Source organism: Homo sapiens, chromosome 9 (assembly GCF_000001405.40).
Source record: "Homo sapiens chromosome 9, GRCh38.p14 Primary Assembly".
Lineage (NCBI taxonomy): Eukaryota > Metazoa > Chordata > Mammalia > Primates > Hominidae > Homo > Homo sapiens.
Genome location: NC_000009.12, coordinates 15822878 through 15847369, shown reverse-complemented (window position 1 = coordinate 15847369; position 24492 = coordinate 15822878). Strand labels below are relative to the sequence as shown.

Here is a 24492-nt window from a genome sequence, read left to right as displayed (position 1 = left end):
GAATATACAGCTATAAAAATTAAATGAGTTTTCCATGGTCAATATGTTTTATTGTATTTTTTAAATGCTATGATACACATGCTGATTGTATGCTAACATTTCTTTATGGAAATATTACTCGCAATATTAGTATATAATAATATATGCAGAACAAAATTTCGGAGACAGTGGAGCAGAAGAGAATAGGAATGTATAACAGAAGATACTATGCAAAACTTTTAGAGTCTTACATTTCACATTAATAAAACATAGTTTCTAACATGTAACACTGTAACAGAGCCCAAAATAAGCATAATTAGAGGTTACATAGAAGCTTATACTTTTCTGAGGTTTCTCAATAAAATATACATTTAGTATGTTAAGAGTTTTTCTTTTTTGAGGATATATCAGAGAATTTCAAAGAAAGACAGCTGTACTTTTGTTTTCTAACACTGTATTATCCAGGGCTAAAACCCGGAGCATGAAAGTAAGAATTGATCTTTTGTCTGTTTTAAGTGATCTCCCCAAGGTCCAAATGCTCACTTGGCTGCCATGCGGAGGGCACTCTCTGCATCATGGATGTTCTCCTCCAGTCGACGCTTGTCCTGCTCCAGCTGGGTAAGATGTCTATTGAGCTGACGCAGAGATTGATCTTTTCTTCTCAGCTCCATCTTTGCCTCGGAGAGACTCTGCAAGCAGACAGAAAACAGAGTTACTTGTCAGCCCTGATAATTAACTTCAATTTATGCCATAGGCTATTAAACAAAGAAGAATACAGACTGACTGAGAAGTAGACTTGGGTCATTACACATCAAAGTTTAACAAATTTTCTGCAAAAATTTTATATACGTACTAATTAGAAATGATAGAACTGATAAGGTTTGGGAAATTGTTACAAAATACAGTTCCATTTTATTTTTTCAAATACTGCAAGGCAAATTGTATTCTTACTAAAAATAATCTGATTATAAAAATCTCAAGTTGTACTTTCTTTTAATGATGAAAAAATAAAGATTTCAGGGGAGAAAGCACATGAAATTTAGAGTCAATTTTATTCCAAATAGAATTAGAGTTAAGAACTATCATATGCCCAAACTATGCATGTGATTGAGAAAATGATAGACCAGGATATCTATAAGAAAATGGTAAACCCAAGATGAAAGAGTACCACTACTGTCTTTATAAATATATAGTTAGGTGGCTATAGACATTTCAGCAAACAAACAAATTGGACTCCAAAATAAAATCTACTTGCTTCCCAGTAAATAACTCTCACGTCAAGGATAGCAACACAAATAGGATCAACATGTTTTAACTAATAAAGTTATAAATAATACTTGCATTCAGAATTATTTGTGTTCTGTAAATATTTTCTTAGTCACAGAAGTACAAGATCTGTTGATTTATATTTGCTATCTACTTTAATCTGAAATATTTACTTAACACAAAAATTTCAAGATGCAATTGTGCAACTTTACACTGAAGGCTTAGAATCAGAAGCTCACAATTGAGAGAAGTATTTTCTAGACCTCAGTTAAAATTCTAGGATACAAAATAGTACAGGGATCAGAGGATCGCTTAGCACTAAAAATCTTCTTACTCCTTTGCCGAAAAAATTTCTAGAATAAGCTTATCAAACAGTTTTTTATTAAATTTGTTGGATGGTGAGCTAAATAATTGAGTGCATACACATAATGTTTTCTTCTTGCTCAGTTTAGCCACACATTAACATCCACACTGTGCTTCAAATATCTAGTAAAGAATAAACAAAAATGTTATAATTTCATGTGTAAAACTCTTCTAACAGTATTCTTTTAGTGCATTCACAATGGGTAGTATAAAAAAAAGAATAGTATAAAAAACTTAAGCTGCATACATGTTAAACCAATTAATTCCCTCTAAATGCTGGTGAACTGCAAGCCATCATCAGTCAAACCAGGTATTTTTAAATGTTGAAAGTTTTAAAATTCAGTCATTCACTTTTCAAATAGTCGAGTTACCGTCAAACAAATATAAATCAAAAAATTAAACAAACTATGACTACTTATGAGACATTGTATTTTGTTTTAAATCTTCACTATTAACAGATCTTCACAAACGTTCCACCACAGAAATAGTCACTGATTCAAACCAACTTTAAAAAGATGGCAAAGAATAAATTTTTAAAACCACGCTAAACCTACTAATTTTGTGCCAATGCTAAGATAAAGACACTAAAGCATTATAAGATTTCTTTATTTAAAAAAGTAAAATCCTTTTGAGTTCCTTTTAAAGTCAGCATTTCTGACATCTTTCAAGCAACAAAAAAATCAATTTTTCAAATATGAAGATCAAACTAATGATCCAACACCAGTTATGGATAAAGCTTGAGTTCTTCCAACAAAAACAATACATTTGTGCCAGTCCATTCAAATTCTTCTGCTCAATAACTCTTATGACTAGAGGTGCATATTGGTGAGGGGACTATCCAGCATTCAGTATATTATCTCTAACCTTATCCAGACTGAAGCTTCCTGATCCAATCTCAGGGAATCCATGACTTTGAAATTATCATAAACCCACACTTGACTTTTCAACAATCCTATCATATACTTTCAAAGAAGATATACCTCATAACATTAGAATTTCTACTACATAGCTAAATCTTCTCGTTTCCATTCTTTCATTTTCATGTCTCAGGGGCAACGACAGGAGTCATCAAACTCTTCTAAAGCTTATACTATTTCAGGGGCATAGAAAAGAAACAAAAAGTGGTATAAACAAAGTGATATAATTCATACTTCCTTGAGTATGAAAACAAAAATATAGTTTTTTTGGAAAAAAGATCACAGTTTTATAACTTATAGACATAGAATTCTCATTTGAAAAGAGGAGAATGACATCATAAAATACATCAGTGGGTCCTAAGATTGATGGGGATGTGTGTAAAACACCAAGACATAAACCGTGATTCAAGAATACGTCTTTTCCCTAATACTTAACCTTTTTTAAATAACAAAAACAGAATATTTAAAAATCCTAACACTGAGCTTTAAAGAAAAATATATTTGTGTATATATATTTACATACATATACACATCACATATATATTTATAAATATATATCCATATATCACATATAATTTTAAATTCAGCTTTTCTTTTCTCCTGTTCAGATTGATCTAATTAAAACCCATGATAAACTTTATGGACTCTAATATTTCCAACTGAATGACAAACCAAGAGGGCGCGCCTCTAGGCAACAAGGCAACAATGATAAGCAGCAGGTTAGCCACTAATTTCTCAACCAGGGTAGATTGTGAAAGTGTGATGTTCTGATATCCAAGAAACTGTTCAGGAGAGAATAGGATAAATCAAGTTTAATAACTCTGCTCCTAATTGTTCCCCCAATGCTCAACTCTAATTACTTGGAGAACTCTCCTGACTGTCACCTGATATTAAGTTGTTGGAGGCTGAGCCTGGAACAGCGAGATAATCAATAAACATTTAGTGGGGAGAAGAATGAAGATCCTGTTAAGCAGTGGGAACCTGCAGCACCCAAAGCCCTTCTGCTCATGAGAAAACCTATGGGACAGCCATAGTGATTGCAAAGCAATAATCCAAAGCACTGTTTTTAGGCCTTGAGGCCTTTAAGCAACAGTACATTTGAGGAAAAAAGGTTAACACGGTCACCCTAATTACAGCCCACTTTCACATACTTCATATATAAGTGAAGACAAGCCAATTAGGTAGAAAGGAAGATAAGGGAAGTTTTATTTGTATACTAATTAAACCCCTGATGAAATTAAAGGAAAAACATACAGCTCTGTAATTGTGTCTGAGAAAGGTCACTTCAGGTTCAGTTATCAGAACAGCACAGCCTTGAGATATTTCACTTAATCCACAATACAGCCCTCATTTTGTACTCAGGTCTTAATACTTACCAAGAAAAAAAAATTCAAAGCCTGATACTGAATTTATCTTTAAACAGTGTTGTGAACAATTTTAGCTGTTAGAAAGTTAAGGCTAGATATGATAACAAGAGTCTTTTAAAGAGCAGAAAAAAATATTCTACCTACACAAGAACCAATGTCACAATATTATTTATCAAAGATTTCCAGTTTTCCTTTTAAATCCAAAATGTTTTAAAGCAAATTTTTACAATGGTATCCCAAAATGACTGTATTTCAAAAGCTATTATATAATATCTTTATTGCATTTCTTTTTAGATAATGATGTCATTGCTTACCTTCATTTTCTCTGTTAAGGAAGAAAAAACCAATGCTTTCACTTAACTACTCCTATAAGAAAATACTTACATTTGATTGTTTCCAGAAATGATCATGAAAAGCTATTTACTATTAATGAAAGCTGGCAGGAAAAGTATGGATACAAAGGAAGTAGTGAAGTATAGTAAAAGCTTAGGAATAGAATACATGGTAAATGTGAATATTAAATGACCCACACATTTTTTCAATGTATTTTTTCTTATCCATAGTTCCTGAAGTTTCTATAATAAGCATGTATTACTAGTGAATAACAGCAAAAATTATTTTAAGTCATACATAATATTATATTTCTAAAGCTTCAAACGTTTATTAAGGCTAATAATTTTTAATTAATTATAAAATAAATTGAAATTCTATTATCTCACACCTATGAAAACATTTTGTGCAATGAAAATTTTTTTAAATAACAGCTTTATTGAGATGTAATCCACATACTAAACAATTCACTCTTTTAAGGTGTACAATTCAGTACGTATTCACAGAGTTGTACAACTATCACCAATAGAGGTCTTTTTTGAAGTAAAATTCTTTAGAAAAAAAACCTTATCAAAACAATGTGGCTATCTAAATAATATTATCTCTCAGTTTCAGCAAACTCTAGTTGAAAACTGCATAAGATATACAAAGTGTATCATTCTGTTTAGAAATGATTTTTGAAATAAAAAATTTATGAATGAATTCCCTGAATTGGAATATTTAATTAATAAATGTGGTACAGTACAAACGTTAAAGTTATCTTAAAGGGTATGCATATCTCTTCAACTAATATTTCTGGATGCCAAGCGAATCACCCAACATAGTTCTTTCTCATAAGGGTACAGTATAGCAGTGCTTTAGACCATTAGGCCGCTAAGAAGACCAAGCCCCAGGGGATATTGCTTTTATAGATTTTCTTTTGTCTAATGGGAAATATCTATGGATCTACATTCCTACACACTAAAAGCTAATGGCTTATTCAATTTGGTATAAAAAGTTAGTCATACAAAATGAAAGGCAAGACAACACAAGTGTTATAAGAACTAGGTTACATTTCCTTGCAGGGGGAAAAAAGATAACATTTAAAGAAAAATAAATTTATTGCTGACTGACTGTTCCTTTAAACATCTCTAGATTGCAATAAATTTGGTTAAAAAGCTTAGTAAAATTAATGTTTGAAAAGGAAATAAGGCTGTCTTCAGCCCTACTGTTATGTAACAACTAAAAAATTATATTAATCAAGAATTAATTAAATACTTGCTAGGTGGATCAAACTGTACAGGTTGTCACAGAAACTATAAACATAAAATGATACAACAACCAAATTTACAATAGGGCCGGGTAAGCAAGTTAGGAATGAAACTAAAGAATAATATATTTTATAATAAAGCCAGAAAATCTGTAAGATAAACAATTAGATAATTTACAATAAAAATACAACAATAAAAGATGTTGGTATATAGTACAGTTTATATCTGAATAAATTTCGATCTTGGTATCTTATATTTTATATGAGGAATTTAAATACAAAGTTATGTAATTTAAATTAATCTTCCTTAGGGATACTATCTTTTATTGTTTTCTAGTAATACCTACACAGAAAGTAGGTGACATATTTATAAACTGAAGCTGAAACTCAAATAACTTACCCACTTTCAGGGTTAAATAAATGGCAGTCTTAGTTAGAACTCACATGTCTAGTAAGGCAACAGATGTTAAGGTATCCTATAAACTGTAAAAGACTACATAAATGTAAAAGGCAGGATTAATAATTACACTTCTACATGTAACGTCATTACAGACTGTTCTTTAAATCTCCACCTATATATGACAACTTATGAGTGCCTATATTATTTCTGCCTCATTTATTTACTTATATATACATACAAATACGTATAATTTTTAAAATTATTTTATCACACATGAAAAAGATAAAAGGAAATTAACAAAGAAGAGTGTAAAATACGTTACTTTTATAAATAGGCCATGTGACAGATGATTAACAACAAATGGGGCAAATGAGCAATGGAAATTCACCTTAAAAATTTCCAAGTATGCTGTAAGATTTTGTTGTATAATGCCTCATGATTATCTGTACCATATTCTCATATATGCCTTTGAAAATGTCTTCCTAAATGGTGTCAATATAAAATAAAAAAGCTAATTCTTCCCAGTAAACTAACTGAAAGTGATCAATAATAAAATATAATGGAATAAAAAGGAACTTCATAAGAGTATTCAAAATATATTGAATGCTATTTGTTCTAAGCCTCGCATATAAAGCACAAAACTCTTTGTGATAGACTAAATGTATAACAGTGAAGTAAAGTGGAAAAGAAATAGTTACACATTTTAAATGACAAAAAAAAAGGAGGATAGTAAAGAGAACCACAAAAACCCTCTCAACTGGAAAATATACTCAGAAAAGTACAAAATAGAAAAGTGGTAGCTAGATTTATTGTGACACACGACATGTAAGCAGTAATGTGACAGTAATGTTTTCTGAGTATAAAGCAAACTGAGTTTGGCTGCACTGCAGACCTCATGAGACAGAAACTACCTGCAGATGACAACCATCATGATGCTGCTATAACAAAATCAGCTCTTATATGACCTCTACATTCTCTTGGCAAATACCTAATAAATACAAGGGGACAGAATACACATGGGCTCTTCTGTTGGACCTTATCAGCTATAGCATACTCAAAAACTTCCCAGAGCTGACAACCCCAGCTATGTGGAGGTCCAAAAAATTGCTGAATTCCCTGGCAATATTTTAAACGAGTCGAGCTATGAATTAAGTTGTAAAAAACTATCATTTAGAATTTAAATGCTGTTTTAAAATCATTTGAGAATTACCTAAAACAAATGTCTGAAAAGAATTTGAAAAAATGTGAATAATTTATAAAGGGCTTCATATAGTTGGGTTTCTAATATTTAAATAAAAAACTTTGTTGAAAAAAATCTTTCAACTTCGAGAATTGTTTTGGTGATAGAAGTGAATAATAGGGTAAATAAGCCTATTAATAATTAAAATACTCTTACATTAATATTTTCACTGTACTACAGAATTTAAATGGCCATTATTTAACGTGAATATGTTATATATTAACTACTTTTAATAAAAGTAAATCAAATACCAACTCAATAAAATTCAATTATTTAAGAGAATTTGAAGGTCAAATTTAAAATTGGGAAAATAAATTTAGGTTATTTTAGACTTAAATGTAAATAAAACAAAGTTTTGAGTTTTTTCTTAAAAGTTTCTTCACTGGATGATTTTCTGTGCATTAAGTATTTTACTACTGATTTCTATATTAATTTTAGAAGTATGTCCATGGGGGAAAAAATTCTAGACAGCAAATGTTTGCTAACTTTCACTATGGGGAGTGTTCCACATATTTTCTTGTACACACAGAACAGTGCCTCTCATATTGTAAGTATTCAACAAATGCTGGCCATTATAACTGCTGTTGTTATTTCCCTTATAATCACTAGGGGGGAAAATTACTTGAGTAACAACTAAGTGTCATTATTATCATTATAACTCAAGCATATTATAATTACATTAGTTCATTTGATTCTTTATAATCCAGTGAGGTATATAGTATTACCATTCCTGTTTTACACGAGAAAACTAAGAATCAGAAAAGTTATTTCCCCAAAGTCATGGAACTAGTAAATAGGTTTATGTCAAAATGTGAGCCCTTCTTCTGAATCTAAAACCTTCCTCTAAACTCTGTACTACAGTAGTATTAGTAACAACGTCTTCAGATTTTCCATAAAATCTACTAACTGGGAAATCACCATGGAAATGTAAAACCAATATTTCTCTTATTTATCAAACTCCATAAAGTTAGTAAGGTACTTTAATATATTTAAATGGTTACTTTCTACTTATATTAAAGTCCAATAAGAGCTTCAGTATTATTTAAGGATACACTTTCAACATCAAACATTGAAGAATGTACAACTCAAGATCCCTTGTGTGAAAGTAGGATCACTGTCATCACTTATTAAATGTACTAATAAAAAATAAATATTTGTAAAGAAATGATGAATTGTACAGCACTCCATTGTAGTATAGAATTTTATATAACTCAAGACACATTGGGCTGTTGCTTTTTTTAACCTTTCAAAAAGCAATGGACTTATTTACCTTTCCTTTATAAGTTGGCAACAACAGCACTTAACTTTCCCTGTAGATCTTAAAATTTGACTGCCTAGCATAGTATCACCTTTTTAATATTTGTAACAGCAACCCACCCTATCACAACAGTATATCAAGATACCAAGCTCAATAATACAGCATCTGTAGCTACCTCTTCCTAGTTAGGGAGATCTTAGCTGCTATGTAAGAAGACACTTATGTGCCTAATTTAAATCAAAAATGTCATCTTTAAAAAACTGGTATCCAGCCAGGCGTGGTGGTGAATGCCTGTAATCTCAGCACTTTGGGCGGCTGAGGTGGGCAGATTGCTTGAGGCCAGGAGTTCAAGACCAGCCTGGGCAAAATTTGAAGAGGATGCTTGAATTAGTGGACTCCCAACTCCCATCCTTCTTTAAACTGGAATTTGCTTTAATGTTTTCTATGAACTTTGTGGAAGATTTTTTTAAAGAAAGGGTTCTTTGGCTAAATATACTTGCCAACTATTGTAATAGAAGGCCATGGGAAGCTTCTGAAGGATTCTAGGCTGTGAAGCAGCCCTCTTTGATCTGTTTGGGAATCATATATATAAACTATAACTGTCTAATTAAAGAAATACAAGAGGTCATTCTGGCTATATCATCATAGCTCATTTAAACCTTCAGAAGAATTCTAACCAAGGTTTAATATGATTTCACCTGTGAGTAAAAGATACAATGATATACTATGTTAAAAATGATTTTCAAAGAACTGGCTTATAATAGTTTTCCTTAATATGCTAGAGTATTATATCAAAATTTACTTTTACGTTACTCAGAGTATATATTAAATATTTACTTCCTATAAACGCACATTCTAGCCATATATTTTCTATTTCCATTAATTATTAAATCCTACAAGGTATATGAATTATATGATAGAGAGCCATAAACCCTACATCATAGCAGAAATAAATGAAAAGAATATTATTTTAGGAACACCAAAAAGAGGATTAACAATTGAACTCAGTAATTGTTTTATAAGGAGAACTACACTATTTCGGCTATGGTTTTAAAATGTTTTCGGTTATTAAGTTGTGTTGTTTTGAAGTAAAAGAGGGTAGAACAAAGTTACCACTGGCAATAACCACTGAGTGAGATTTCTAAAAGGCTTTCTAAAAGGGTTGGTACCGGCTTTCCCATCGTGCAATAAACCATGAAAGTTATTTTTTAACATATCTGAGTGAAATATATAATTTTTAACCACTCTTCACTTGTATTAATTAAAGAAAAAGAGAGTGAAGCTGAGTAATACAGAGTTGTTAAAACAAAGATGAAGGCTCACAACTAAATCAACCAGTTTCAGCAACAGTTGGAAGCATATTCAAAGTACTGTTGGGACAAGGCAGAGGGATGGACTCAAGCCTCTGGGCAGTTTCTTGAGGAATTGTGCTTATGAAAACCCCTGTATTTGTTCAGGCAGTAATAGTTGAAAAATATATATTCTGGGGAAGTAACATAGCAAAACATAGCATTTTATAGGTTTTCTTCAAATGGAATTTTCCTGTATAAGGGTGTATGTGTATATATGTACATGAATATATACATACTCAGTAAATAGTACCATTTTGGTTACAAAGAGCTTGCTATAAAATTAGTATAATTTACACTTCTGATCCCTCTGTAACCAACCCATTCACCTGAAGAAAAACATAGTTGTTCTAACCTTCTAAATGAGCGAGATCGCCATCTAGTGGTGATGCTTTAAAATGTCAGGAATATGGCTTCTGGAGCCTAGAAAATGCTCTGTGGAATGTGGTGGACACTGAGTACATATTGTAGAACGTTCAAATTTTCTTAAACAACAAACAGCATAATACACGGAAGAATCTTTTTCTTTTATACTTAAAAAACCTCTAGAACAAGAGAGAAAAGCATCAACCAGACATATGACTCCCGGAGATAACTATTTTCAACCCTACTGACCAAACTAGTGAAGAGGGTTGCAGATGTTAAAATGTCAAGTTACACCAAATTTGGCCAATGTGGCTAACTAGAAAGAAGATTAATTATTTCTATACATTATATAATGAAAAAGATAAGTTACCGCAGTAGATTTTATTATTGGTCAAACTATTTGTTCCTTCTCCAAGAGGGGAAAGTATATTCTCCCGTTCCACTGATACGAAATTTGACGATGTAAATCGGTGGTGTCCTTTCTGGAAAGAAGATTATATATACCCTGTCCTGTCAAAATCAGGAATGGTCAAGTTACTTGCTTTGACCAATGAAATGTGACTAGAAGCAAAATGTCAATTCCTATCGGAGAAAAGGACAGCAATGTCCCATGTAGACACCTTTAAAACAAGACCGGCCGGGCGCGGTGGCTCACGCCTGTAATCCCAGGACTTTGGGAGGCCGAGGCAGGCGGATCACGAGGTCAGGAGATCGAGACCATCCTGGCTAACACAGTGAAACCTCGTCTCTACTAAAAATACAAAAAATTAGCCGGACGTGGTGTCCCAGCTACTCGGGAGGCTGAGGCAGGAGAATGGCGTGAACCCGGGAGGCGGAGCTTGCAGTAAGCCGAGATGGCGCCACTGCACTCCAGCCTGGGCGACAGAGAGAGACTCCGTTTCAAAAAATAAAAACAAAAATAAATAAATAAAATAAAACAAGACCAACAGCGTTCCAGATAAAGAACACTCTATCAGCCTCAATCATGGGGTATGGACATATGAAGCAGAAGCACACAGCTGACCCATGATGAATATGCATAATGTGTGAGAAATCACTTGTGGTTGTAAAGTCACTGTTTAGAGTTATTTGTCACTGCAACATAGGAGAGGGTATCTTAACCCATTTTTCTACATTTGGCAATTTAATATTTATATAACTATGAAGTCATCAGGAGATACTTTAGAAAATCAGTGTCTAGGCTCATTTAATATTGGATCATTGGGGGAAGATATGAAGTTTAATTAAATATTAAAATCACAGCAAGTCATCTGAGACTTAGGTGAGTATGTAAATATAAGGACATTATAGAAAAATAATTTAATAATTAAAAATTGAAGACAATAACAAAATAAAGAGGGGTACCATACTGTAAAACATACTATTTTTAATATACATATGATAAATTACTAATATGCATGTATATATGTAAATAGGTACACTTAAAAATATGAAAGGCATAAACCAAAATAGTAATGACAACACTTATTTCTTGTTAATATTTTTATTACTTTCAATATAATATGTATAAACTTTATGTAATTAAAAATGCAACTGACAGCCAGGCGCAGTGGCTCATGCCTGTAATCCCAGCACCTTGGGAGGCCAAGGCAGGTGGATCACTTGAGGTCAGGAGTTCGAGACCAGCCTGACCAACATGGTGAAACCCTGTCTCTACTAAAAATACAAAATTAGCCAGGTGTGGTAGCGCACACCTGTAATCCCAGCTACCTGGGAAGCTGGGGCAGGAGAATTGCTTAAACCAGGGAGGCAGAGGTTGCAGTGAGCCGAGATCACGCCATTGTACTCCAGCCTGGGCAACAAAAGCGAAACTCCAACTCAAAAGAGAAAAATGTAATTGATACAATCTTCATAAGCTCAACTTTCATCACAAAATCTTAAATTTAGACACAGGATATCATAATAGTAATTAAAACTGATTTTTAATGTGCTCTAGTAAACAAAGACAGGAAATTGCTCAGTTATATAACATTTTATCAAATGGTAAATAAATACAAATACATGTAATATGCAACTAAATTTAATCACTATCATTTATTCAACTCTTTGAGGGGGAAATATTTCAATGACCTGTTTCCCTCTAGGGAATAAATAGGGCCTTAGTATTTCTTAAGCTAATAGTCACATCATAATACATATCCATCTGATTCCCAGGATTTTGTCAAACCCTCTCCCCAATTAAAGTTGCCTGTTTTTAAGACTTTTAGCCATGACACAGCTTAGAAACCCCAAATCAACATTCTTCACAGATAAATGATTTTCTGAATTCCACAAGGACTCTATGTTCTGTGTCACAGGACATAGATCAGAAAAACAGATGAATTCTATTTCCATCACAGAAATGATTTTGATGATTTTGGTTTGCTTTGATACTCTGATTTTACTCCTAAAATAAGATAAAACCACCATAAAGTAGCATCCTGTTTCATCTATCATAGTGATTTTCCTTGTAGATGCCCTTAACAATAATCCTTGTAGAGTGCATATACGTCCCTAACCACATTTTGGCAATTGGCCAGGCTTTTGCTAGCACAAGATAAAACTGACAAATATGCTTTACCCTTTGCAGTTTCAGGCATTCTAATTTTATCAAGGTTAATACTACTTTATACATTTTCTGAACTAAAACATAGAAAATAATACTCGCCAGCACTCCATAAGATCAAAGCATTATAAAGTCATATCCATTGGGTAGCCTCTTAATTGTGAATATACTAAAATAAAATGCAATTTGTTAAGATTAATAAATAATGGTGTTTTCCGAAATAACATCTTAAGTAGTGATGTGATATAACAGTGCAATATTACTAAACTTCCAAATAAAACTTGAGTATGTTAATTAAATGTTTTCTATAAACAGAAAGGTATAATGATTTAGAATACATATCCCCACATGGGGTAAAATTACCTCTAAAATGAATTAAACATTGCCACTTAATCATGCTAGAAATATGAACATATAATTAGATAATTACCTCCAAAGACTGAGACATTTAAATTTATCCTCATTCCACTACAAATGTAATATTCTAAGGTTGGTTACTATGATTGATGACAATTAAATTAAATATTTCTGAAACAAAACCATTGCTGAGTCTCAGATTAATGAGAACTAAAATAATCATGATCAAAAAGTGAACAAATTTTAATTAGTCCTTTAGGTTACAATGTACTATTTATTAATTTAAAATTGGGCCCACTGAAACAACAAGTATTTTCATAGTTAACCTTGGAATATCTGTAATTATACTATACAGTCTGGGTCATTTTTGTAGTGCATTCAAAGAAAATAATTTTTCTAAGAGAGAAAGTCTTACTACAGTATTGTCATTCTCAATAAACATCTCTGGGTTCAGGTCCTTGCTCCACTAATTACTAGCTCTGAAACTTGGGCTAAGTTAAATCCTCTATACCTTTGTTTCCTCATCTGCAAATGATGGGTAATAATATTTATTTTTAAAATTGTTTTAAAAGTTAGATGAGAAATTATTATCTGCAAATTATTTAGCCAAGTGGCAAGGAAATAAATCCTAGCTATTTTTATCTAATGCAAGGACAAATGCTAACAAAATTTACATAGTCCCTTAAGCCTCCACATTGGAGGTTTATAAGTTTACAAAGAATCCTCACTGTAGTTAATAATAAAACAAACCACTAAAGCAAATACAAGTCATAAGATAATAAAATTGCATATTTGTATTAATAAAGTATTTTGGCATATTACCAATTCAACTAATTACAGAGAAAATTATTTAAAGAAATGAAAGACTTATTCAACAATGGCAAAAATAAACTTCACTCACAGATTTTAAGTGGCACAACATAAATGAATATCATTTACAAAATTCCAAATAGTTTACATATATTTGAACACTTCAGTTTCCAGATGGAAATGTATAAAGTCATGTACCACATAAGGTTTTGGTCAACATTGGACCATGTATACTACAGTACTCTCATGAGATCATAATGAGGCCGGGTGTGGTGGTTCATGCCTGTAATCCCAGCACTTTGGGAGGCCGAGGTGGGCAGATCACCAGAGGTCAGGAGTTCGAGACCAGCCTGGCCAACATGGCAAAACGCTGTGTCTACTAAAAAGTACAAAAACAATTAGCCAGACATGATGGTGTGTGCCTGTAATCCCAGCTACTCAGGAGGCTGAGGCAGGAGAATCACTTGAACCAGAGAGGTGGAGGTTGCAGTGAGCCGAAATCGCGCCACTGCATTCCAGCCTGGGCAACAGAGCAGGACTCCATCTCAAAAAAAAAAAAAAAAAAAAAAAAGATTATAATGAAGCTGAAAATTTCCTATCACCTACTAATATCTTGATGATCCTGACCCTGTGTAGAGCTAGGCTAACGCGTATTCATGTCTTACTTTTTGCCAAAAAAGTTTTAAACGTTAAAAAAAGGATTTTAAAGAGAAAAACACTTACTGAATAAGAATATAAAGAAAATATTTTTGTACAGCTTTACACCGTGTTTGTGCTTTAAGCTAAGTGTTGTAAAGGAGTCAAAAAGTATACAGTGCTTATAAAGTCGACAGCAGTATACAGTAATGTCCTACGTCTTCACATTTACTCACCACTCATTCACTGAGTCACTCAGAGCAACTTCCAGTCCCTCAAGCCCCATTCATGGTAAGTGCCCTACATAGGTATATGATTTTTATCTTCTATACCATATTTCTATTGTATTTTTTCTATGTTCACATAACACAAATCCTTACCACTGTGTTACAATTGCCTACAGCATTCAGTATAGTAACATTCTGTACAGGTTTGTAGCCTAGAAGCAACAGGCTTTACCATGGAGCCTATGTGTGTAGAAGGGTATACTATGTAGGTCTGTGTAAGTACATTATATGATGTTTGTACAACAAAATTGTCTGACACATTTCTCAGAGCACAGCCCCATCCTTAAATGACACATGACTGTATTTCAAATGAAAATGTAACCTCATTTAAGGAAGGCACACAAAGAGCTCAAATGCCAACCACAGCTGGATAAGGTCAAATTAAAGGAGAAAGGGATTTGACTTGTATCTCACCATTTGAATGTCCACTGTAGATTTATTTGGCATTTCTATGGCATTTCACACCAAAAGTTTAAAAAATAAAATTCTTTATAGACTTGACTTTAAAACAAAAAGAAAAAGAAGATCATGGGAAAAGTTGATTGAGTTGAAAAATAAAGACACCCTAAGGAAAATTCCTTGTAAGTAGTACTTCTTTACCAAAACAAACAAACAAACAAAAAAGACAAAAAAGTAAGATGCTGGCACAGGGGACAAAAAAAGAAATCAAAACCAAAATACTCAAACACCCTCTAACTATAAGGGACTTTAATATTGCAACAAAACCAAAGAAAGAAAGAAACCAAGAAAGGTCATACACATTGATATTCAGGCTACCAGGAAAAATATGATTACAAACATTTTTTAAAAGGCAGTTTTGTAAGCCTATTGATTCCTTTTGCACATTTCAAGGTAAAGTAGTTACTTTGTAGTTGACTCAATAATATTACAAAGATCTGTCAGGAGTCTGAATTTAATAAGAACCCTCTCTGTTTTTTAAAGAAAACCTAAAGACAAGTTAAAGCTCAAAACTAACTGGAACAAATGGTATGCGGGTACATGTGCTTAACATGCAATCCACTTGTGCAATAATCCCATTTTTCTTCTAAAGCATTGACTTATAATAAATCTTTCCTATTGCACTGTAAATTCCAAGGTGACAGTCAAAGATGTTTATTAGTATAATTACAATGCAGAAAAAATACCAGTAAGCTTCCAGTTCTAGGTTTCATACATTAATAGAATAAGAAGATTAAGAAAGTGTCAAGTGTGTTTTAATTCTTCAGCTCTAAAGATTCCTAATGTGGTGCTCTTTTATTACATGATCTATTTTTTAGCTTTGTTTGCATTTTATCTTTGAAGTTGCTAACTTTTTTTAAGCACTTACGAAGTACAGTTTTGTTTTTATAAAAATTAAGGGCCGGGTATGGTGGCTCACACCTGTAATCCTAGCACTTTGGGAGGCCGAGGCAGCCGGATCACAAGGTTAGGAGTTCGAGACCATCCTGGCTAACATGGTGAAACTCCGTCTCTACTAAAAATACAAAAAAAAATTAGCCGGGCATGGTGGTGGGCACCTGTAGTCCCAGCTATTCAGGAGGCTGAGGCAGGAGAATGGTGTGAACCTGGGAGGTGGAGCTTGCAGTGAGCTGAGATCGTGCCACTGCGCTCCAGCCTGGGCGGCAGAGCGAGAATCCATCTCAAAAAAAAAAAAAAAAAAATTAAGATATGGCCATAAGAAAAGAGGTAGAAAAAGCCAAAATTGCTGAACAGCCAAAAGGAACTCATTTATAATATAATGAATTATTCAACTTTACAGGCATTCTTCAACAGGGTCTCTATGTTCAATTTCTAAATATTTAAGATTCTAACAATTCTTAAGCAATTAAGATTCTAACCACTCTTAACCAGTGTTTGAAATCTATCTCTACAGAACTGTAAATATGCATAATACCAAAGATTCTTGATTATCCTTCAATATCCAATCACTTTACTTTCTACTCTCAATAATGAACAATCAGTATTTCAAAGAAAAAGAGTTTTCCTATCTCCTTTTTGACATTACGGTTAAAGACTCTGGGTGCATTGTTCTACATGGTAAAGCGGATTGCATTAAATGAGAATATCTAATTCTCAATGTCTGAACTTCCTATTATTAGGGACTTTACTATCATTAGAATCAATTGAAAAGGCCAGGCAGCTGTTATAGGGTTTTGTTTGTTTAGGGGAAAGTCTGTTTCTTAATATGCTTTCCTCGTAATAAGCATATAGTAACATAAAAGTTAGAAAATGAATATCCTGCTTTCTTCTGTAACTGGAATAAGATATGAATTATAATACTACAGAGGTTATTTGTGAAACCTCTGCTGGTTATAACATGTAAAACTAAAATAAATCTCAATAGGTCATCTAGATCAGATGAGTCTTTCATGTCTTACTTCCTACAAGTTTCCACCACCATAAAAACAAACAAAAACACTTTCTCATAATGATATTTAATTTAAACTAAATATTCCATTGATGCCTTAGTAACTTAGGAAAATACAAAGCTATCTCAAACAGCATTCCAGCAAGGATTTTTATGGGTACTACCAGTTGTTGTCACTGCTTGAGGAACACTGACATGAATCTCAACAAATCACAGGCACACCAACTTCGCTACTGAAGAAAACAGATTATCATTAGTAATCTCATTTATTCAGCAACAAGCCTACTATTATGCCATAATTATAGCAAATGCCATATTTGCTACCATTATTGCACATTTTTTTGAGCAGGGTCTCACTCTGTTGTCCAGGCTGGAGTGCAGTGGCACAATCATGGTTCACTGCAGCCTCAATCTACTGGACTCAGGTGATCCTCCCGCCTCCGTTTCTTGAGTAGCTTGGACTATAGGCACATGTAACCACACCTGGCTAATTTTTTATTTTTTAGTAGAGATGGGGATTTGCCATGTTGTCCAGGCTGGTCTTTAACTCCTGGGCTCAAGCAATCCTCCCACTTCGGCCTCCCAAAGTGCTGGGATTACAGGTGTGAGCCACCATGCCCAGCCTACATAGTTCTTTTAGCATATATAATATGAATCTCTTGCATAGCAAGTTTTGCAGAGTATTTTCACTAAAGAGGGAAAACACATGGGAATCAGACTTATAGCACCTTAAATTTTAGATGCTTTAGACACAAAAATTACTAACTTTCACATCTCTGTTTATCCAATCCCAAGTCTTTCTATCTTTCTTCACATCTCCCTCTTCTCATCTTTACATGTTTTCAGAATCAAGGCTTTCATTTTAGACACATTTAAGTGGTCCTAATTTCTGTAAATTTCACTTGGCCATCATCTTCCCTCAAGTTATCATGTATCGGCTTTTCTTTCTGCCTTTGCTAATCCCTCAAAGGTAAAAACCTATATCTACTACTTTCCCTTCCCATCCACACATCAGATGTAATAAAAGAGCCAATAGATTGAAATACAGATTCCTGCTATAACATTTACTACCTGAGGAAACGGTCAAATTACTAACATCCCTGAGCATTAATTTTCTAATCTGTAAAAGGAAATTTGGGTGTCTATACTATAGGTTGCTGTGAGGACTGAATGTAACAATATATTTGAAGTATTGATCAGAGAGCCAAACATATAGTAAACACTCAATAAATATGCCTGCCATTCTTTGCCGTGTGAAATCTGGCCTTTGGACTCACCATTCTCCTAGCAGAGACAGGACTCAACATGCCAGTGTACAGTTCCCAGTCTTCCAAATGCCAGTCAAGAAGGAGAAACCTCACTTATGAACTAAAGATACAAAAACCCTGATTATTTTTTCCATCAACATAAGCTATTTTCTGACCTATTTTTAGAAAAGAGAAAAATATTACAGAGAAAATCGTTTTCATTCCAGTTTGAAAAAACAGTTTTCATTCTGTTTTCTCTAAAAAATATTACAGAGAAAAATCATTTTCATTGTAGTTTGAAAAAATAGTTTTCATTCTTTGACAACCTACGGCTTTTACACATAATATGCAGGCTTCTGTAGCACCCTATAGAGAATGATGGTCCTCTCTATTCTGTATTGCACTTAAATCTATGCATATCTGTTTCTTCCAGTACAAGATGAAATGTGTTTTGACCCAGGAAGAGCTACTTGCTAAGTAAATCTTTCTTTTGAAAGCTATCTTCTTCTAAGGACGTCCTACATATAAATCTAAAAATATACAATAAGCAAAATTATTTTAAACAAGTTTTCAAAATAGATTCAAACTAAACACCTAATATGTATGGGCACTGGATGTTACTGAACACTTTCTCAATAAAATTCTTCACGTATCACTTTTCTAAGTCCTGTTTTTTTTTTTCTGTATCTTCTCTTTTACCTCCTGCCTTCCAAATTTAGATCTTTCCTACATTTGTTTGCTCTTCCTTTCATGCTTTCAAGATGTTTCATCTACTTTTTAAATCTTTAACACTTTACTACAACCAACAACTATGCATTTCCTCACTAGAATTTATGATCATCTCAAAATAAAACAAAACGAAAAGCTGAAATCATCTTTTTCACATTCCCCAAACTGATTCCCCTGCCCTATCTCTTTGTTGTTAGCAGTACTATTAATCTTACAGTGTAAAATATTAATTCATCTTTTATTCCTTTCTATTCCTATATCCTCTACATTTACTCTGTCATGAAATCCTACTATTGAAGACTTCTAAGAAAGAAAGGTCCTCACCTCAGATTTTAAAAATGGATTCTAAGAAATAACAAGATGAATCCTTTTCCTTCATTCTGACCCAGAGGAAAGCAGATCGGGTATGGAGAATTCTAACATGAGTTGCTCAGACACACAAAAAAATTACTTAGAAGCAGAAAAGCTTATTCAGCTACAACAAACTAAAGGCTCAAAAATCACAAGGTCTTTGAACTCAAGTGGCCTAATCAATCTAAAAGAAACATAATCTAGGGCACCCTCACAAGCTAGCTGAATCAGATTAAAAGGACAAAGATGCAAAATTAGGAATAAAAAACAGGTGACAATATCAGATACATGGAAACTTTTAATAATTATAAGGAAAGATATGGCATTCCCCTAGGTGTATATGAAACACTTTCAAACTTGAATAAAATAGAAGATTTCTACGAAAATAAACAAGCAACAGACTCAAGAAGGTCTAAAGTCTAGTTCAAGATGACACTCTTCTCTGGCAAACTTCCATTTTAGAAAGCAGTGAAAGCTTCAATCTTCAACCTAGAGTGTATGTAGGAGATGTGTACAGAAAAGAGGAGTAATGGTCTACAACCTAGAAGAGGCTCAAGTTGTAAAACCACTACAATACAAGGTGGGAGTAAATCAAGCTGTAGAAGATAGAAATTAATTAAAAGACTATACTTGGAATAACCAACCACACCCACATGTCCCCCCTTCCACACACACATAATCATACAAAACTGTAAGCAGACATTTACCTGCAAGGGAGAAAAAAGAAGGTATTTATTTCATAAAACAAACTAAAAACAAATAAAAATTGAAAGATCTCTAAGGGAGCAATAGGCAACTAGCTACGAGTGGTGGTGCCAAAAAGGAAGGACCAGCATATTCATTTGAGGGTTGCCCAGCCTAACAGCAAGCTCATAGCCCATCCATCCTAAAGGAAAGCCAACCAGCCACCAACTCTTAACTATATACAAAGAGCTCCTAGTTAGCATTTTTTTCTTCATTCTTAAATGTGAATGATCAAACAAAGCTTTTCATAAATTTGATGAAAGCCTTTGTTCCAGTTACAATTTAGAACAATATGTCATGTGTTCCAGGGTTACATACGACAAATTAATCTAAAACATAATGGTGTCAAACTACTGTGATTAGACTCATGGATTCCATGGATCAGGAAATAGAGCATGGCACAGCAGGGACTGCTAGTCTCTGTTCCCTATTATCTGGAGCCTCAGCTGAAGGCTGGTATATGAAGTCATCTGAAGGCTCATTCACACAGGTCTGGCATTTGATGCTAGCTTGTTGCATGAGATGCTAGCTTGTTGCAAGAGACCCTAGCTGAGCTGTTAGCTGAGCATATTATCCCTAGTTCACGATGTGACCCAGGCTTTCCCAGAGAATGATGGCTGGTTTCCAACAGAGAAAATTGAGAGAGAGAAAGAAAATCAGGCAGAAGCCATGTCTTTATGACATAGTCTCAAAAGCCATGCACTGTCACTTCACAAAGGCCCATTCAATTTCAAAAAGAGGGAAATAGACTCCACATCTTGATATGGGAGTAGCAAGGTTCTAGAAGCACTTGTGGGATCAGAAATATTGCTGTGGCCATTTTTGGAAAATATAATCTTCCATGGCCTTCAGCATAAAAAAAAAGGATCAACAAAAACAAATGAAAAAAATATGAAGATCTCAGAAGAACGAAAGAGAATTCAGAGAACTTAAATAATTGTTTATTATAATATTTGCTTGTTAAACACCAGTTTTAAAAACTATAAGAAAACACAGAAACTTTAAAAAGGATGCCATGAAAAGAGAATGAGAAATTAAAAGCAATTCTTAGAAATTAAAATATTACTACAATAAAAAGCATTTCAATACAAAGAGTGAAGAGAAACTACGAGAATATAAAATAAGAAGATAGAAATATTTTTAAAATATAAGAGCCATAGAGGATAGAACCAGGATATTCAACTTCTGACAGACTAACAGATGTTCCAGAAAGAGAAAAGAGAAAAACAAAAACAAGAAAATGAAATTTAATTTTGAAGAGTCTATGGAGTATTATTTCACAAAGTGAAAATGTTAATCCTCTGGAAGCTTAGTGTCTACCACATTTTGGTGCCCCTCTACCACCAATACTGAACTGAACTTCAACTAGTAAATTATACTCACTTGAAATAAATCATTTGACAGCTAACTAGCTGCTAATAGCTGCAGATTAAGACACTTCTAGAATTATTGCAATCTCCATTCCTAAATATTTTAACCAATTTTCTTCTTTAAAAAAATCTCTCCTAGAGAGAAAATGCCCCAAACTTGAAAGAAAATCCTGTATTGGAAATAGGGAGGGTAATGAAGTTGGGCAATCCTGAGTTCAAGTTCTTTTTCTCCCTAGCCACTAAATCACCAGGAACTGACTTCAAGTTCTGACTCCAAAACTTTCTAATATGTGACATTGGACCAATTTATTAAAACTCTAATCCTTAATTAACTTTCTATTTGTAATTTATATTTATTTTTTATTTCCAGGAAATTAGAGGATTGCAGAGAACGTATGTAAAGCATCCACTTTATAGTGGTTACATTATTAGGATGACTCAGGATCCTCATGAGAATCCAAAGATGTGATAGCCCTATTTCCCTTCTACCTACATTATCAAAGAAACATTCTCTGAACTAATATTGATCTATGCATTGTCTGATCTCACCTGCTCCTTGTCTATATTTTTAGTTATCAATCATGTGGTTGGTGTCTTTAATGCAGGAGACTATAGCAATCTAAATTCCACAAACACAAGGCAAATTAATAGGTTCTATTTCTAATAGTGTAAACTAGAAAAATATTCTCATCTGAAATTCAGTCATAGGTGGATGAAGAAGAAAATTTGAAGTTGACTCTCTTTTTTTCTATCCTGCTTCCATACCACAAGAGGAACTTTGGGAGAGTTAGAGCAGGAGAAAAGTAAAAACTCCTTCCATCTCTTCAATAATATTACTTCTCTAGGTAAAATAAATGCATCACCATCATCCAAGTCTGAGAATCCAAGAGGAAAGGAACCATTTTAACAGCAAACTGGCCTGACATCTAAAGCCATGTAGATAATGACCCCTTCATAATAGTACCATGAACCACGTTGGAATCCAGGCAACTACTTGACCACCAGAGGCTGTCAGAGTAAATCAGAAGAGACCATTCTAATCAAAGTACTATGATAAATCTAGGGATGGACAACAGTAAAAGATTAATAGAAAGGTACCACATTATTCAAAGATACTTGTTTCTTAAAGAGTTCGCAGGATAGAAATTAGCCAGCTTCCTGTATATACGTTGTTCTGTTCATCTATTTTAATAAAAGATGTTTTTTAACTACAAAAGGAATTCTGTGAAAGTCATAATCCAGACCTTAGTTAAAACAGGCTTTGTAAATTCAGACCAGGAGATCATGTGAATCAAAGTACTTGCCAACACCTGGGGGCAGCATACCACTAACTGTTGAAAGGGACCTAAAAGCAAAGCACCAATAGAAGACTGAACACGCAAATGACAAAAACCACACCCAAAACACATCACAGAATATATTTCTAACAATAAACATCGTGACAGACATATATATACACATATATATTAACATATAAAATTAATACATATGTAAATGTATAATTATTTGTAAAAATGTGTAGTATATAAATTTTATTTTATATTGTATATAGACATATATGTGAAATACATAATTTATTTACATAAACTGTAGAGTGTATGTATATACATATACTGAGTATGTGGATGTCTATACAGATAAACATAGATACATGATTTCAGAAGTGAAAAGCCAATATGTCATGTTTTTTCATTTAATAAAATGAGAATTTTGATAATAAATGGTACAACTTCTTGTAAAGCTTGGAAAAAAATTTTCTCCACTGTGTAGCCTGATTAATTCAGAATATGACTAACTGGCTTGATAGGGGAAAATCAGATTCAATGCTATTAAGTTTTCTTCAAGTGGGCAACATATGACAAGAAACAAGAATGCATATTTTCAAGTCTACCAATGTCTATTCTAAAACTTACCTAAAAATGATTTTGTTAAAAGACAAATAATTTTTTTCTCTGTCATGTAAATCTTCTTCTAATATACAAAGAAAACATCACATTATCAACTTTCTCTTTAAATCTGTGTAAAGCATTTTATTTTTTTCAATATAAAATACAAAAATCTCCTGCTATGACAAATTAAAATTAGAATTTTCAACAGTAACACTCTTTAAAACTGTGAAGGGCCCAAAGGGAATCAAGCCTTTCATGCAACATTACAAATATATTTGGCTTTTCTATAAAGCAGCGTCCTCATGCGTATTGTCAAGTTCTTTGCAATTATTTTTCTTTCTTCGTTTATACAATGTAAGCAATATTATGTATCTTAACATGTTGTGACTGTTAAGTAAAATAATATGAAGTGCCTTGCAATGTGCCTAGCCAAGGTATATGTGCTCAGTAATCTTAGCTCTCATTTCTCAAACTACACTAAAAATAGCAAATTAACTTTATGTAAAGTATATGAAGAGAAAACATCTGTGAAAAAAATTATTATTCCTTTTTATGCTTAATGCAAGGCAAGACAATATACCTTTTCTTTTTTTAATATTTTATTATTATTATACTTTAAGTTTTAGGGTACAAGTGCACAACGTGAAGGTTTGTTACATACGTATACATGTGCCATGTTGGTGTGCTGCACCCTTTATCTCGTCATTTAACATTAGGTATATCTCCTAATGTTATCCCTCCCACCCCACAACAAACCCGGTGTGTGATTTTCCCCTTCCTGTGTCTATGTGTTCTCATTGTTCAATTCCCACCTATGAGTGAGAACATGCAGTGTTTGGTTTTTTCTCCTTGCGATAGTTTGCTGAAAATGATGGTTTCCAGCTTCATCCATGTCCCTACAAAGGACATGAACTCACCATTTTTTATGGCTGCATAGTATTCCATTGTGTATATGTGCCACAATTTCTTAATCCAGTCTATCATTGTTGGACATTTGGGTTGGTTCCAAGTCTTTGCTATTGTGAATAGTGCCACAATAGACATACGTGTGCAT

The 24492-nt window shown here is 33.3% G+C and overlaps 1 protein-coding gene across 35 annotated transcripts in view; it reads right to left on the bottom strand.

Annotated features, from left to right (window-relative positions):
• Positions 1-24492, bottom strand: part of CCDC171 (coiled-coil domain containing 171) — a 556042-nt gene that overhangs the window by 261557 nt on the left and 269993 nt on the right. For all 35 annotated transcript variants that reach the window (XR_007061261.1, XR_001746227.3, XR_001746228.3 and 32 more), the window contains one exon: positions 523-668. Coding sequence is in view for 30 of the 35 variants with exons in the window: in XM_047422930.1 (XP_047278886.1) it covers positions 523-668 (146 nt within the window). In the remaining 5 variants the exon portion in view is untranslated. The remainder of the gene's footprint in view (positions 1-522; positions 669-24492) is intronic.